The sequence below is a fragment of the Homo sapiens genome, chromosome 2 (genome assembly GCF_000001405.40).
Source record: "Homo sapiens chromosome 2, GRCh38.p14 Primary Assembly".
Classification (NCBI taxonomy): domain Eukaryota; kingdom Metazoa; phylum Chordata; class Mammalia; order Primates; family Hominidae; genus Homo; species Homo sapiens.
This window is the reverse complement of record NC_000002.12, coordinates 159,679,941-159,698,365: the sequence shown is the minus strand read 5'-3', so window position 1 is coordinate 159,698,365 and position 18,425 is coordinate 159,679,941. Positions and strand designations below refer to the sequence as shown.

General features: G+C 37.5%; 1 protein-coding gene and 1 pseudogene across 15 annotated transcripts in view; both read left to right on the top strand.

Moving 5' to 3' along the window:
• BAZ2B (bromodomain adjacent to zinc finger domain 2B) overlaps positions 1 to 18,425 on the top strand; it is a 397,131-nt gene that overhangs the window by 14,077 nt on the left and 364,629 nt on the right. The window contains exon 3 of one of the 15 annotated variants that reach the window (NR_110586.2): positions 2,946 to 5,174. The exons of the other annotated variants lie outside the window; for them this stretch is intronic. The gene's annotated coding sequence lies outside the window, so the exon portion shown is untranslated. Of the gene's footprint in view, positions 1 to 2,945; positions 5,175 to 18,425 lie in introns of those variants that run through there. 15 annotated transcript variants of the gene reach the window in all.
• RPS3AP13 (RPS3A pseudogene 13) lies at positions 8,022 to 8,695 on the top strand (annotated as a pseudogene).

The window sequence follows — 18,425 nt, the reverse complement described above, 5'->3', positions numbered from 1 at the left end:
ATTTTTTGTAGAGCTGGGGTATTGCTATATTGCCCCGCTGGTCTCAAACTCAATGGACTCAAGCAATCCTCCCACCTCAGCATCCCAAAGTGTTGGGATTACAGGCATGAGCCACTATGCCTGGCCTAGTAAAATATTTTTATACTAAGTAGAGAGAGTAGATTCGTGGAAAACTCTTAAACTCACCAGGTACTGCAATGAAACTTCTAGCATTGGTGATTAGCATACTAATATGTACTGGGCAAATTTATAATCGTTAGTAATTTGCAATGGAGTCTTTTCATTCTGATATTAAAAGTATTTTACAAACACTAAACTTTCAAAATCTCTCTTATAATAGGTATTGTTAAATTAATTCCATATTTCATATGAAAAAACAAAAGCTGAGGGAGGCAAAGTTACTTACCTAAGACCACACAGTATTTAACTGATGGAACCTGAGTAGTTCCAAATTTCCGTTACTCAACTCTAACCCGCATATAAAATAAAATCAGTGTAATGCTAAGAAATACTATTGTACCTCCAAGAATAAACTTGACAATAAAAATATTGTCATGGCAGTTTAAAGAAATGTCTTTATTAAAATGAGGATTCCAAGGTAAAATCCTCTAAGTATAAACATATTTATATAAGATATTTATATTTAAGAAGATAGTAATTTCATTCAATATTTTGTTTTTAATATCATGATCATTAAGTTACATAGATTCTCTTCTGGTAAGCAAAGTGCAAAAAAAGCCAAAATTGTTATAGACTGTGATTCAAATACTCTTTCATATAGCCAGGGTGATAAACTACTTATTTATTGAACTTGACTGTTTAAATATAAAAATGATTGTCCTAATGGAGAAAGCCCCTAAAAAGCAAGTAGCTCCTTTTGCATAAAAGACTTTTACATTATTTTGGATTTTAGTGAACAGTGTTTTTTTCTATTGTAATTTCTGATTAGATATCACATTATTTATGAATTGTTTGTTATGGTAGGAGTATAGTATCTTTTGGAAGAATTTATCTTAGTATATATTAACCAATGAGTCAATTAAGATTAGCCAATTTCAATATTATCCTTAAGCAGTATTACCATTGTAATGCTAGAATAGACATATCCCAGACCATTAAAAACCTGACAATTCTTTATCCAAAAAAAACAAGCAGGCAAAATATTTACAAAACTATTAAAAGATTGGGGAGCTAAAGTAGTGGCAAATGCATTACTCTGAAAATCCTCACACATCCTCTGAAAACCAATAAAGATGAACAAATAAGACTACACATAACCAGGCTGGGCACAGTGACTCACACCTGTAATCCCAGCACTTTGGGAGGCTGAGGCAAGTGAATCACCTGAAGTCAGGAGTTCAAGACCAGCATGACCAATATGGTGAAATCCTGTCCCTACAAAAATACAACAATTAGCCGAGTGTGGTGGCACGCACCTGTAGTCGCAGCTACTTGGGAGGCTGAGGCATGGAGAGTCACTTGAACCCGGGAGGTGGAGGTTGCAGTGAGCCGAGATGGCGCCACTGCACTCCAGCCTGGGTGACAGAGCAAGACTCCGTCTCAGAACAAAACAAAACAAAACAAAAAAACACTGCATATAACCATATGTTAATGTTAGAATGCAGAGAATGTTCCAACTTCAAATTATCTGTAAGTAGAAAAATACATACTAAATCCTAGCCAGCCATTATTCATGCCTTTGTGCAAGCTGTGGTGGAAAGCAAGGGTGATCTGGGAAAAACTGCACAGGAGAAGAAAGAAGCTAGTGACAGGCTTAAGATACTGATCTAAAGACATTTCCAGAAGAATTTGCTCCTAAGAAATACTGATAGATCAGAGGAGACTACAGGGAAGGGACTTAAAAGTGTATATGGGACTCAAAAAGGCAGTTTTGGAAAGGCACTCATTAGGGGAGAAGAGGGTAAAAAAGGAAGGGATAAATGCCCTCTGAAAACTAAACAGTTAAGAAAAATATAGAAGGGAAAAATTTAGGATCCTGCAAGACAGAAAAATATTTTTTTAATTGGAGGACAAATCTCACGCTGCCTTGCCCCCAAATCCAACTAATAAAGAAACCATACTTTAGTAAAAGCAGAAGTCATTTTTGAACTGGGAATCTTGTAAGCTATTTCAAACAGCCAGTCCTGTTCACAGAAAAGAAGAAGTGACAGGACCTTTAACTATATATAAACAATTTTGAAAGAAAATAGAAAATGAAGGTAAAATAAAAAATAGGCAATGAGGTTCATTTGTGAAAATACCTATAACCCCCTCCTAAGAAACACAGGCATAAAGATAGATATATAGACCAGGTGTGGTGGCTCACACTTGTCATCCCAGCACTTTGGGAGGCTAAGGTTGGGGATCGCTTGAGGTCAAGAGTTCAAGACTAGTCTGACCAGCATGATGAAACCCTGTCTCTACTAAAACAAACAAAAGGACTCAGCCAGGCATGGTGGCATGCGTGTCTGTATTCCTAGCTACTCAGGAGGCTGTGGCAGGAGAATCACTTGAACCCAGGAGGCAGAGGTTGCAATGAGCCAAGATCACGCCACTGCACTCCAGCCTGGGCGACAGAGTGAGACTGCATCTCAAAAAAAATAAAAATAAAAAATAAAAAAAGATATATAGATCAATGGAATAGAACTGAGACTTTATAACTAGACCCTTATATTTATGGTCAATTCATTTTCTTCAAGAATGCCAAGGTAATTCAATGGGGGAAGAAAAACCTCTCTAACAAATGATGCTGGGATAAATGGAAATTGACATGCAGAGAATGAAGTTGGACCCCTACCTCACACCATGCACAAAAATTCATTTAAAAATGGATTAAAGATCTAACTTTAAGTACTAAAACTATACAACTTGTAGAAAAAATTGTAATGTGAATATTACATGTAAGTATTCTTGACCTCAGACTTACTAGTGGTTTTTTTTTTTAGATATGACACCTTCAAGTATAAGCAACCAAAGAAAACTAGATAAATTGGACCTCATAAAGTAAAACAAACAAAAACCTTTTGCTTCAAAGGATACCACTAAGCAAGCGAAAAGACAACACATAGAATGTGAGAAAAAGGTTGTAAATCCTATATATGACAAGGCACCTGTATCCAGAATAAAGAACCTCTTAAAACTCAACAATAAAAACACAAATAATCTAATTGTAAAATAGCTTACAATCATTATTGTAAAATTGGCAAAGGATTTAAATAGATATTTTTCTAAAGAAGATATAAAAATAGTCAATAAATGCATAAAAAATAGACAATAAATATATGCTCAGCCTCAGCAGTCATTAGGGAAATGTAAATCAAAACCACAAGGGAAGTATTTATTCACACACACTAATATGGCTACAATAAAAAACCTAGACAGTAAAAAATGTTGATGAGGATGTAGAAAGTTGGTACCTGCATATATTGCTGTTAGGAATGTAAAATGGTACAGCTGTTTGGGAAAGCAGTTTAGCAGTCCTCAAAAGTTTAATTATAGTTACCATATGACTCAGCAATATCGTTACTAAGTATATACTCAGGAGGACTGAAAACACATGTCACACAAAACCCTATACACAAATGTTCATGTCATAGTAGTCAAAATGTGGAAACAACTGAAATGTGCAACAATGGATGAATGGATAAACAAAATGTGGTATATCCATCCAGTGGAATATTATTTAGCCTTAAAAAGGAATGAAGTTCTGCTGCATGCTGCAACATGGATGAACCTTGAAAACATTATCATTAGAGATGGAAACCAAACATAAAAGGTCACATTGTATTATTCCATTTATATCACTGTCCAGAATAGGCAAATCCATAGAGATACAAAACAGATAAGTGGTTCCCAGGTACTGGGAAAAGCAAGAGGTAGGAGTGACTGCTAATGAGTATAGGGTTTCTTTTTGAGGTGATGAAAATGTTCTGCAACTAGATAGTGGTGTTTGTTTTATGAACTTGTGAATATACTAAAAGCCACTGGATTATATATTTTATGTATTTGTTTGTTAGGACTGTCATAACAAATAATACTACAGGCTGGTGGCAACAGAAATGTATTTTCTCACCGTGTGGAGTCTAGAAGTCCACAGTCAAAATGTCTCAAGGGTTGTTTTCATTCTCAGGCCTCTTTTTTGGCTTGTAGATGGCTAACTTCCCTGTGGCCTCACATGGTCACCCCTTGGTCTGTGTGTTGTCTGTGTCCTAACCTCCTCTTATAAGGACACCAGTCATATTGAATTAGGGCCCACATATATGACATTTTACCTTACTTGTCTCTTTAAAGGTCCCATCTCCAAATTCAATCACATTCTAAGGTACTAGAGGTGTTAGGACTTCCACACGTGAATTTAGTTGGGGAGGGAGACACAACACTTGAAAACCTAGGGGTGAATTTTATGATATGTAAATTATACCTCAATTTTGAAAAATATAAGAACCTACTTTTCTTTCCAAATAAGTTTGAAAACTTAAATGAAAAAAGTAATTTTCAGCTGGGCACAGTAGTACACACCTGTCAGTCCCAGTTACTCAAGAGGCTGAGGAAGGAGGATTGCTTGAGACCAGGAGTTTAAGGCTGCATCTGTGAATAGTCACGGTACTCCAGCCTGGGCAACATAATGAGACCCCATCTCTTAAAAAAAAAAAAAAGATGGTCAGGTGCAATGACTCACACTTTGAGAGGTCAAGGTGTGAGGATCCCTTGAATCTAGGAGTTTAAGACCAGCCTGGACAACATAGTGAGACCCTGACTCTACAAAAAATAAAAACTTAGCCAGGTATGGTGGCACATGCCTATGGTCGCAGCTACTTGGGAGACTCAGATGGGAGGATCGCTTGAGCCTTGGAGGTGGAGACTGCAGTGAGCCATGATCTCACCATTGCGCTTAGCCTGGGAGGCAGGGTGAGACCCTGTCTCAAAAAAAAAAAAAAAAAAGTTTATTTTTAAGGCAAATATATTTCATCAAAATTGGCCACATTTGAGAAAGTTTAATTTCTGTAGAAGAAATAGAAAAGAATATCAAGGATCCACCTCATAAAAAAGCACCAGTCCCAGATGGTTTTATAGAGATAATCTGTGAAACACTCAAAGATATTCTCAATGCTCCGTAAACTGGTGCTGAGCATTGAACATGGATAATACCAATTCCTAAAGACAGCACAAAAAAAGAAAAAAAATTACAAACCAATATCAATTGTATGTATTGATACCATTACTAAATAAAATATTAACAAACAAATTCCAATGTCATATGTTAGGAAAATAAGCTGGGCATGGTGGCTTACACCTATAAACCCAGTGCTTTTGGAGGTCAACACAGGAGGATCACTTGAAGCCAGGAGTTCAAGACCAGTGAGACCCTATGTCTACAAAAAAATTTGAAAATTAACTGGCATGGTGGCACGTACCTGTAGTCCTAGCTACTTGGGAAACTGAGAAAGGAGGATGGCTTGAGCCAAGGGGTTCAAGGCTGTGAGCTATTGTACTCGATAGTACTACTGAGCTGTGGTACCATTGTGCTACAGCCTTGGTGACAGAATGAAACTCTGTCTCTAAAATAAAATAACATATTATGACCATATGGGATTTACAGTTGACCCTTGAGCAAAACAAGTTTGAACTGCACAGGTCCATTTATTTGTAGATTTTTTTTATTTTTTAATTTTTTATTTTAAAGAGACAGGCCTCACTATGTTGCCCAGACTGATCTTGAACTCCTGGCCTCAAGTGATCCTCCAGCCTCAGCCTCCTGAGTAACTGCGATTACAGGCGTGTGCCACCATGCCCAGATTCTGCAGACTTGTTTCAATAAATATATTGGAATATTTTCTGAAGATTTGTGACAATTTGAAAAAACTTGCAGATGAACCACATAGCCTAGAAATATTGAAAAAAATTAAGAAGCCAGGCACGGTGGCTCATGCCTGTAATCCCAGCGCTTTGGGAGGCCGAGGTGGACAGATCACCTGAGGTCAGGAGGTCAAGACCAGCCTGGCCAACATGGTGAAACCCCGTCTCTACTAAAAATACAAAAAATTAGCTGGCCATGGTACTGTGCGTGCCTGTACTCCCAGCTACTCGGGAGGCTGAGGCAGGAGAATCGCTTGAACCTGGGAGTCAGAGGTTACCGTGAGCTGAGATTGTGCCACTGCACTCTAGCCTGGGCAACAGAGTGAGACTCCATCTCAAAAAGAAAAAAAAAATTAAGAAAAAGTTAGGTATATCATGAATGCATGAAATATATGTAGGTACTAGTCTATTTTATCATTTGCTACCATAAAATATACACAAATCTGATATAAAAAGTTAAAGTTTGTCAAAACTTACACATATAAACATAGATCATACATGGCATCATTCACAGTGGAGAGAAATGTAAGCAAGCAGAATGATGCAGTATTAATAACTGCATAAAGTTAATTGTAGCACGTTGTACTGCTGTAGTAATTTTGCAGCTGCTTCCTATTGCTATTGTGGTGAGCTCAAGTGTTCATAGTATATGCTTAAAAGTCCTTATGATACTTATCATCTCCAGATGAGCAGTTCATCTCTTCAGTAAATGGCACTGTATCACAGTAAAAAGTGATCTTTTGCAATTCTCATGTATTCTTTATCCTGTTTAGTGTAATACCGTAAACCTTGAGTAACACTATAGGATCCATACCAAGCGCTACTAGTGATGCTGGAGTTGCTACCAAGAAGCAGTGAAGTCATGACATTACAATAAGAAGTCGAATTGCTTGAGATGTACTATAGATTGAGGTGTGCAGCTGCAGATGCCTTTTTTTCCATTTCAGACAGGCAATTCTGTAAACAATCTTGTAAACAGATGACATAAACTTACAGTATCAGTAAATACAGTACAGTACTGTAAATGTATTTTCTCTCATGATTTTCTTAATAACCTTTTCTCTAGCCTACTTTATTGTAAGAATACAGTATTGTATGTAACATAAAAAATATGTGTTAATTGACTATGTTATAGGTAAGGCCTCTGGTCAATAGTAGGCAATTATTAGTTAAGTTTTTGGGGAGTCAAAAGTTATGTGCAGATTTTCACCTGAGTAGGGAGTCAGCACCGCTGCCCCCACATTGTTCAAGGGTCAACTGTATTCCAAAAACACAAGATTGTTTCAATATTAGGCAATCCATTAATATACGATATTAATAAATATAGAGATAAATCATATAATTATCTCCGTAGATGCTGCAAAGACCTTTAACAAAAATCAACATCTTCTGATAAAAGCACTCAAGAAAATAGGAATTGATGGGTATTTTCTTAACATGATAAATATATATACACACCTTTGATGTATAGGTATATGTATATATACACACACACACCTTAAAGTCATCATCATAATGGAAAACACCAAGGACATTTTTACTAGTACCATCAGGAGCAAGGCAAGGATATCTAGTAATTACGCTATTATTCATCATATTACTGGGAATATTAGCCAATACAGTTAAACAAGAGGAATCAGTAGAAGTACAACAGAACAGAAGAAATAAAACTATCTCTATTTGCAGATGATATGATAGTATATCTGGAAAACCCTAGAGCAGGGTTTAGCAAACTGAGAGCCAAATTTAGCCATATATACTTGGTTTTGTATTGCCTCTGTCATCTTTTGCACTACACCAGCAGAGTTGAACAGTTGTGATAGGAACTTTTTGGCACACAAAAATGAAATATTTACAGTCTGGTGTTTTTACTGAAAAGATACAGTGTGCGGACTTCTGCACTAGAAAATCAATGGTAAAACTAACTCAAATAATAAATCAGTAACTAGTAGCCTATAAAATTGGCATTCAGAAATTAATATTTTATATATATATGTATCAATAACTACCAGTTAGAAAATAGAGTGGTAAGGGAAACCCCAATTAAATAACAATGAGGAAGATAAAATACTTAGGAATAAATGTAACCAGAAGTATGTAAAAGCTATTTGAGAAAAGCTTTAAAATACTTGTGAAAGACAATCTCAATAAAAATACCAACATGGCCTTTTGGCTCTATGAGCAGCACCACGGCAGTTGGCGAGAATGAGCGCCTTATGAAAGGTGGCAGAAGGGAGCCAAGACGAAAGTGGCTGATCTATTTTCTAAGAAAGATTGATATAATGTGAAAGCACCTGCTATGTTCAATATAAGAAATGTTGGAAAGACGCTAGTCACCAGGATCCAAGGAACCAAAACTGCATCTGATGGCCTCAAGAGTCATGTGTTTGAAGTGAGTCTTGCTGATTTGCAGAATGATGAAGTTGCATTTAGAAAAATTCAAACTGATTACTGAAGACATTCAGGGCAAAAACTGCCCAACTTCCATGTCATGGATCTTACTTGTAACAAAATGTGTTCTATGGTCAAAAAATGGCAGACAATGATCGAAGCTCCTGTTGATGTCAAGACTACTGATAGTTACTTGCTTCATCTGTTCTGTGTTGACTTTACTAAAATACACAACAATCAGATATGGATGACCTCTTATGCTCAGTACCAGCAATTCTGCCAAATCTGGAAGAAGATGATGGAAATCATGACCCAAGAGGTGCAGACAAATGACTTGAAAGAAGTGGTCAATAAATTGATTCCAGACAACATTGGAAAAGACATAGAAAAGTCTTGCCAATCTATTTATCGTCTCCATGATTTCTTTGTTAGAAAAGTAAAAATGCTGGCCAGGAACAGTGGCTCATGCCTCTAATCCCAGCACTTTGGGGCTGAGGTGGGCGGATAATTTGAGGTCAGGAGTTTGAGACCAGCCTGGCCAACATGGTGAAACCCCATCTCTACTAAAAATACAAAAAAATAAGCCGGGTGTGGTGGTGTGCACCTGTAATCCCAGCTACTCAGGAGGCTGAAGCAGGAGGATGACTTGAACCTGGGAGGCAGAGGTTGCAGTGAGCCGAGATCGTGCCACTGCACTCTAGCCTGGGAGACAGAGTGAGACTCCATCTCAAAAAAAAAAAAAAAAAGGAAAGTAAAAATGCTGAAGAAGCCCAAGTTTGAATTGGGAAAACTCATGGAGCTTCATGGTGAAGGTAGTAGTACTGGAAAAGCCACTGGGGATGAGACAGGTGTTAAAGTTGAATGAGTTGATGGATATGAACCACCAGTCCAAGAATCTGTTTAAAGTTCAGACTTATAATAGTGGCAAATAAAAAGTCCTATTTGTGAGAAAAATACGTGCGCTTTTATGGAGCTAGACAAGTTGATGTAGAATAGAATTCTAGTCAGGAATTGTTTCAGGCAAAAATCATTAATGGATTTTACGGTATTTTGTGAAGAGTTGGTTACAAGGAGGATGTTTTTACATACTCAAAATATCTCCCCACAAGATACTAATCAAAAATGGAAAAAAAAATAGCAACTATACAATGGACATACATGACATATACCACCTTTACCAAGTTGTGAAAGTTAACACTAACAGTAGTGGGACCAATAGCATGCATCTCGACAGGATTCACAAGAGCACATCGCTTCTGCTGTATTACTGCAAAAATGCATAACCTGAACATAAACATGAAGAACAATCAGTAAAGCCCAAATTGAGGGACATTTCACAAAATAAATGGTTTGTACTTTTCAAAAATGTCAAGGTCATGAAAAACAAAGACTGAAGAATGCATTCCAGATCAAAGAAGTCCAAAGAGGTATGACAATTAAAAATAATGTATGACCCTCGATTGGATCATGGGTTAGAATGGAACCAATTTTTATTTTATATTACTCTTTTTTCATATTTTTGTTATAAAGTACATTAGTGAAACAATTGGTGAAATGTGACGGTCTGTATTGGATAGTATTGTATTAATACTAACTTCCTTATTTTGATAAATGTACTTTTAACAGAAATATACATTGAAATATTAAGGAGTAAAAGGGAATGATGAAAAATATCTTTATAAAGGGAGTAGAAAGAGACTGATAAGTTAAATGTGGCAAAACGTTGAGTTTGGGCAATCTGAGTAACATGTATATGGAAATTCCTTGTAGTTTTTAAAAAATAAATGTCTGGGCTGGACCTGGTGTCTCATGCTTGTAGTCCCAGCATTTTGGGAAGCTGCTTGAGCTTAGGAGTTCAAGGCAAGCCTGGACAACATAACAAGACCTCATCTCTACTAAAAATTAAAAAAAACTAGCTGGGTGTGGTGGCACATGCCTGTAGTCCCAGGTACTCGGAAGGCTGAGGCAGGAGGATTGCTTGAGTCAGGGAGATCAAGGTGGCAATGAACTAGGATCTCACACTGCCTTTCAGCCTGGGTGACAGATCAAGACTCTGCCTTAAAAAACAATAGTAAAATAGAAAATAAACTTTTACTTTATAATAATTTAAGATATGTAAAAGTAGATAAAAGAAAAAATTTGTCCTGTACTCACAACATTTCTGATACCAAATGTATCAATTTTCCACACCAAGAATTCTCCAGTTTACTGTGGACACCAATGCAATTCAATTTTGTTCTGATGCTATCCACCTAGAGTTAGCATCAGACCCCACAGGCTAAGTAGGGCTTAGTCCCACAAGACTGCCTCAATTCCAGCTTCAGACACCAATCAAAATCCCAGTTCTCCAGTACTTCTGACTAACTTGACTACAAATTGGGAGTTCCCATAACCTCTGCCTCATGTTCAACGATTTATTATAATAGCTTACAGAACTCAGGGACACACTTTACTATTACCAGTTTATTATAAAGGATACAAATGCGCAAATAGATAAAGAGGCATATAGGGTGAGGTCTGGAAGGGTCTTGAGTACAGGAGCTTCTGTCTCCATGGAGCTTTGGACACATTCTGCCTCCTGGCATGTTAATGCATTCAACCTGGAACCTCTCTGAACCTGTTAGATTAAGGTTTTCATGAAGATTCCATTACAGAGACATGATTGATTAAATCATTGTCCATTGGTGATTGACTACAGTCTCCACCCTTTCTTCCCTCCCTCAGAGGTCTGGGGAAAGGATTGAATGTTGGAACCATCTGATCACATGGTTGGTTGCCCTGGCAACCAGCCTCTATCTTGAGGCTGTTCACCTTAGTAGCATAAATTCAGGTATGGTTGAAAGGAGCTTGCTATGAATAGCAAAACATTCTCCTCCACCTCATTGTTACTCAAGAAGCTTCCAGAGTTTTATAAAGTTTGTGCCAGGAATTGGAGACAAAAACCAAATACTCTATTTTCACAGTTGAAAAAGAAAAAAATAGTACAGCAAGTTACTGTATAATACACCCTTCTCAGTTTCAGTTTCCTCTAGTGTTAATATTTTCAATTACTATGGTGCCTTTTTTTTTTTTTTTTTGAGATGGAGTCTCGCTCTGTCACCCAGGCTGGAGCGTAGTGGCGCAATCTCGGCTCACTGCAAGCTCCGCCACCCGGGTTGACGCCATTCTCCTGCCTCAGCCTCCCGAGGAGCTGGGACTACAGGCACCCGCCACCATGCCCAGCTAATTTTTTGTATTTTTAGTAGAGACAGGGTTTCACCATGTTAGCCAGGGTGGTCTCGATCTCCTGACCTTGTGATCCGTCCGCCTTGGCCTCCCAAAGTGCTGGGATTACAGGTGTGAGCCACCACGCCTGGCCTACTGTGGTATATTTTTTTAAACTAAGAAACCAACATTAGCACATTACTGTTATCTAAACCCCAGACTATTTGGATTTCACCTGTTTTTCGGTTAATGTCTTTTTAAACTCCAGACTTCATTCAGATTTCACTTATTATTTTTTTAATATCCCTCTTCTGTTCAAGATCCAATTCAGGTTACTACATTGCATTTAGTTGCTACATCTCTCAAATCTCCTCTGGTCTGTGATAGTTTCTTAGTATTGTTTTTCATGACTCTGACAGTTTGAGGAGTATTGGTGAGACATTTGTAGGCTGTTTTTCCGTTTTGGTTTGCCTTATGTATTTCTCATGATTGGAGTGGGGTTATTTGTTTTTTGGAAATAATACCGCAGAGGCAAAGTACCCTTTCATTACATCATATCAGAGGGTAGATGCTATCAACATGATCTCTCTGGTGAGGTAAACCTTGATATCTTAGTTAAGGTAGTAATCTGCCATTTTCTCTCTCTCTCTCTTTTTAAAGTAGCTCTATAGCTCAAGCTGGAATGTAATGATGCTATCATAGCTCAATGTAGCCTTGAACTCCTGGGTTCAAGGGCTCCTCCTGCCTCAGCCTCCTGAGTAGCTGGGACTACAGGCACATGCCACTACACTCAGCTAACTATTTTTAAATTTTTTGTAGAGACAAGGTCTTGGCTATGTTTCCCAAGGTGGTCTTGAACTCCTGGCCTTCAGCGATCCTCCTGCCTCAGCCTCCCAAAGCATTGGGATTACAGGTGGGGGCCACCAGGGCCAGTCTCTATTATTCTTTATTGTTAAATTCCAATTTTTCTTGTTCTTTTCTTTGGAAAGGAGTCACTAAGTCCAGCCCACTCTGAAAGGAAGGAGTTGAGGTCAGGGGGTGCAGTTAAGTTTCTCCTGGAGGGAGGAGTTTCTATATCTCTTACATATCCTGTAAGGAAGATTTCACTCTTATTTATTATTTATCATGTATTAATAACAGTATGGACTTATGTTTATTTATTTTATTCTTTGCATTATAGTGTAATATGGCATTATGTATAGTGTAATAATGCCATTATTTGTTTTGTCACTCAAATTATTCCAGCATTGGCCATGGGGAGTTCTCTGTGGTAGGCTTTTGTGGCCCTTTAACATGGCCCCATTCCTTTGTTTTTTGAGCATTACCTTGCTTTCTGGTACTACAAGATGCTTTTGCCTTTTCTTCTATTTTCTCTCATCCAGCCCTGTAATCAGCTATTTCTTCAAGGTTTCTTTGTTCCTTTTATTAGAGAATGATATTTAGAAACCAAGATCTTGGCACTAGGTAGTTTGTACATGTTTTCTTTAAGTGTAAAATTATTGCAAAAAAAATTTTAAGAGCTGAATGTTGTAAGATGCACATCCCATTTGTAATTCTTAAGTGTTCTACCTTAGTTAAGCTTCAGTTACCAAATGTTAACTTATTTATAGATACTTCTTTCTAAATAAAAATTATATTTATACTTCACTTGGTATCTGGAAGTTGTTAATAAAATTACACTACAACCTCAGTGCAACATTTTTCTATATTTTATTTGTAGCTTTTTCCATAAGGTGGAAACACCTTGTCATGTTTTGTTCTTCTTATGAAAAGCATAGAGACCTATGATTAAATCCATAAAACTTTATATAATAAAACTAATCAGTAAGCAGTCTAGTTTAATATGCATACATAAAAAGGCATAGCAGGGGCATAAAGGAAGGAGTTCTGGACATTACCATGACTCTTTTATGCAAAGATACCTCCACCCACAAATTCCACTTTAGTGAGTAAGCATGATGAGGACAGCTTGGCCTGTTTGGCAGGAAATTCTGTGTATGAAAATATAGCATTTCTTACAGAAGGTTTTAAAAATACCTTTTTGATCTATGATATATGAAAAGGTTACTACTAAATCAAATTATTTTATTCTATATCATAGAATGCCATTGTAGAAAATAAATGATTTCTTCCAGAATATTAGAATGGATAAGGAATGTGTGCAAATAAAAGTATAGCTATGCTTTAACTTTTAGTGACACTTAAGAGTATGTTACCAAATAATGTAAAGGGGAATATGAGTAAAGACAGTTACAGTGTATGGTCTGATCCCTGTTTCCCAGCTACTCGGGAGACTGAGGTGGGAGGATCACTTGAGCCCAGGAGTTTGAGGCTGCAGTGGACCATGATTGCACCACTGCACTCCAGCCTTTACAAAGAGAAAAAGAGATAATTCATCCTATCATTGTGTAGACAATATTGTCCAACTAATTACTACTTCTTCCACTTTTTCTTTATTTAGTGGGTAACCACTAAATAATTTAGTTTTTATTTAGTCTGTCAAATAATTTAGTCTTTATTTAGTTTGTCAGTTTCTTAGAAAGCTAAACGTGTACTTACTACACAACTCAGCAATCTCATTCCTAGGTTTTACTCAAGAGAAGTGAAAATTTTATGTTCATACAAAAAGCTGCACATCAGTGTTCATAGCAGCTTTATTCATGCTTGTCAAAAACCCTAAACAGCACAAATATTCGTCAGCTTTTGAATGGTTAAAGTGTGGTACATCCATGCAGTGGAATTATTCAGTAATACAAAAGAACAAACTACTGAAAATAGAACAACATGGATGAATCTCATGTGTATTATGCTAAGTGACAGAAGCCAGACTCAAAAGGCTCCTTACTGTAATGATTGCATTTATATGACATTCTGGAAAAGGTAAAAATAGGACAGGACTAACAGCAGTGGTTGCTAGCAGCTGGAGGACAGAGGGGTTGCCTACTGTGTAGGCTGAATCATGGCCTCCCAGAGATATCCACATTCGAATTTCTAGAACCTGAAAGTGTTACCTTATAAAGCAAAAAAGACTTTGTAGATATGACTGAAAATCTTGAGATGGGGCAGTTGTCTTGGATTATCTGAGTAAGCTCTAAATTTAATCACAAAGATACTTAAAGAGAAAAAAGAGTTAGTAGGGGAGAAGACATAGCACAGATTGCAGTAATGTAGCCAGGAACCAAGGAATACTGGTAGTCCCTGGAAGCTGAAAGGAACAAGAATCAGATATCTTCCCTGAAGCTTCTAGAAGGAACCAGCCCTGTTAACACCTTGATTTTAGCCTCATACAATTCATTTCACGCTTCTGACATGAGGAACTATGTTTGTGTTATTTTAAGGAACCAAGTTTATGGCAATTTTTTATAGCAGCAACAAGAAAACTAACCCAACTACAAAGGGGCATAAGGGAATATTTTGGAGTGATGGAACTGTTCTATATTTTGGTTGTGGTGGTGGTTATGACTCTATGTGTTTGTTTTAACTTATAGAACAATATGCTAAAAAGTGTGATTTTAGCCAAGCATGGTGGCACATGCCTGTAGTCCCAGTTTCTCAGGAGGCTGAGGTAGAAGGATTGCTTGAGCCCAGGAGGTTTGATACCAGTCTGAGAGTTTGAGACCAGCCTGGAGAGCATAGCAAGAACCCATCTCTAAATAAAATAGTGTGAACTTACTGTATGTTAGTTATACTATAATAAACCTGACTTTTAAAGAAATGTTTTGTTCAGAACGTATTTTCCCAAAGAAAAAAAATTAGACATTAGACATGCTGCTTGGTGTCTTGGACAGCCCAAGGAAAGCCTATACATTTGTCGAAAGTATAATACAGATGGCAACTCTATACAAGTACATAGAGCATAAATAATAATGCTCCATGGGGGAAATGCACTCCGAATTCTTACACAGTTAGCCAAAAATAACAAAGAGATTTAAAAAGAAAAAAAAAAGGTGATGTAAGGGAAAGTCTGCTGGGAGGACTCCTAGAAAGGTGTGTGTGGGGGGGGGGAGGGGTGGCAGTTTATCTCTAAAACAGAGATGCTTGAGAAGAAATGGTGCTTTTTTTCATCTTCTGGAATAATTGCAAGAGAATGCAGTGTTTGGAACTCCTGCAGCCAAGAAGAAAACAGAGGAAATTGCAGAGAAATTGAGCTGGTGTTCTATTATTGAGTTGATGAATTAGTCAACCCTGGAACTGTTCTGTCTTCTCGTTATATGAAATAATCAGCATTCTCTGCCCCTGCATCACCAACCAATGCCCCTACATAGTTGGCTGTGCTATTTTCCATAGCCAAGAGCTTCTGTGCACAGTATCTTCTATTGTCTCCCCAGATTTACTTCAACATTCTCCATTCTGCACTCCATTCTGGATGGTTGAACAATATTAGTGGGCTCTCTTGCCTTCCAGTTCCAAATGTTTTGGCCAATAGAAAGAGCCTGAAGGCCAGGTTTGGTGGCTCACACCTGTAATCAGCACTTTGGGAAGCCCAGGCAGGAAGATCACTTGAGCCTGGGAGTTCAAGACCAGCCTGGACAATATAGTGAGATACTGTCTACAAAAAATACAAAAATTAGCTGGGCATGGTGGTCCATGCCTGTAGTCCCAGCCACTGGGGAGGCTGAAGTGGGAGGATTGTTTGACCCCAGAGATGGAGGCTACAGTGAGCCTCTGCGGTCCAGCCTGAGTGAGAGAGGGAGACTGTCTAAAAAAAAAAAAAAAAAAAAAAGAGCCTGAGCAGGAAGCAAAGAAAACAGCAGGAGGGAAGGAAGAGACTGAGGGGATATTTATTACCCTGGCCCCAGTCCTATAGGATTGCCATTGATGGGTTGACTACGTTCCTTTACTGAAAGTCACAGCTCCTCTCAAGGCAGCCCTCTCTTCACAGTTCTCTCCCATTTATACTAATCCTGAGATACTGCACTATTCTCTGTGGTTTCCTTAACGTGCTTTTTAATTCCTTCTGAAATAATCTTTTTTTAAATTTATTTTTTATTTTTGAGACGGAGTCTCTGTTGCCCAGGCAGGAGTGCAGTGGCGTGATCTCAGCTCACTGCAACCTCCACCTCCTGGGTTCAAGTGATTCTCCTGCCTCAGCCTCCCGAGTAGCTGGGATTACAGGCACCCACCACTACGCCTGGCTAATTTTTGTATTTTTAGTAGAGATGGGGTTTTACCATGTTAGTCAGGCTGGTCTCCTGACCTCAGGTGATCAGCCCACCTCGGCCTCCCAAAGTGCTGGGATTACAGGCGTGAGCCACCACACCCAGCCTGAAATAATCTTAATTTGGGTGTAACAACTGTTTAATTGCTGGAACCCTGACTGTATATTATCCAAACTGATAAAACTATCCTTCAATATAGTAATTCTCTCTTTCAATCTAGCATTTATCAGATCTGTTAAGGTTTTTATTTCAGTGGCTATATTTTTCTTGTCTAAGATGTTGATTTGTTTCTTTTTCCTTTTTTTTTTTTGGTCAAACTGTGTCTGGTCTGTTTCTTTTTCATATCTATGTATTGTGTCATTTCTGCCTGATTTTGTTTTATAATTTATTATCCTCTTTTGATGAATTTGAATTCTTTATTTCTTTGAACATCTTAAACACTTAAACACTGACTTTTAAAATCTGTCAGACTTGTATAAAATTATTTTTTATAGTAAACTAGTGTTCTGATTATTAATTTTGATAGCTGTTTTGCCATAAGATTTTCTCTTACGGTAATTTTCTCTTATGATAAATTTTACCATAAGATTTTCTCTTATAGTAAAACATATGGTATTTCTCTTATGGTAAAACTTACAGTATTGGAATTTAGATTAGCAGGCTCATTTTATGTAGAAGGAAATTTTGAAGTTTTTTCCCCCCGCTTTCTCCTTTACTTCTTGATCTATACTCAGAAGTCTCTCCCTAGCAATTTTGAGGTTACCTCTACCCAAGTCTTGCCCCATTCTACCAATAGATTTTGTATCATCATTTCAGAGCTGTTACACTGTAATATATTTAGGGATACTGCTCATCCTGACAGGCATGATCATGAGGCTATATTTTTGTCTTCCTGTCTGCTGGGCCAATATAACTCCACAGAACTGGATCCCGGGCAATAGGTTGGTAGCACATTTTGTAGCCTTATTTTGCAATAGGGGGTAACAGCCCCTACTGCAAAGGACAGGAATAAGGATAAGGAATATATATAAGGAATATATATTATTCCTGTCCTGCAGCTACCTGTAGTTTCAAATAGTGAGCCTGTCTCTGATCCCTTATTATCACATACAGCATATTTAGTGAGCGTTACTCCACAGAGGCTGAATTTTCAGCTGCTGTCACTGCCTGCTTTTGGACTGGAGACTAACGTGCCCGGGGTAACAGCCCCATTCATTAATTTATATTACTCTTCAGTTTTTGGTCCACATGTTTGTTTTGACTTTGAACCTGATTGTACCTTTTGGTTTTCTACTTTAAAATTTTATTTGACATTTTAATCTGTTTTAGAATATAGGAAATAAATCCATGTATATACTTATTCTATCAGAATCTAACCGTGGTATCTAACAAATAGGTAGTATGAAGACATAAAAGCACAGACTTATTGTCAAGTAAGCACAAGACACAAAGCTCAAAGAATTAGCTTAACGCAATGGATAATAAAAAAGATTTTTCAATTTCTTAACAGGTTGTAATCTTCATCTTCTTTTCCTCTTTGTCCTTGCTTTCCTTTTTGTAAGATTATACTTTTTTCTCTTGTATACATTGGATTTTGTTCTGGTACTGATAGCTGTCCAGAACTACCCCAGCAGTTTTTCTTGCTCAGTCTTGTAAAACATCACACATTATTAACATAATAAGCCTAGGATTAAGAATGTTACAGAACATAATTTTTTCCTTAAAGGGAAAATAATTTCTATAGATTACAGTTTGTTGAGAATAATTTTGCCTAAGCCAGAGATACAAAATTCATCGCAATGGGAGCCCCAACTC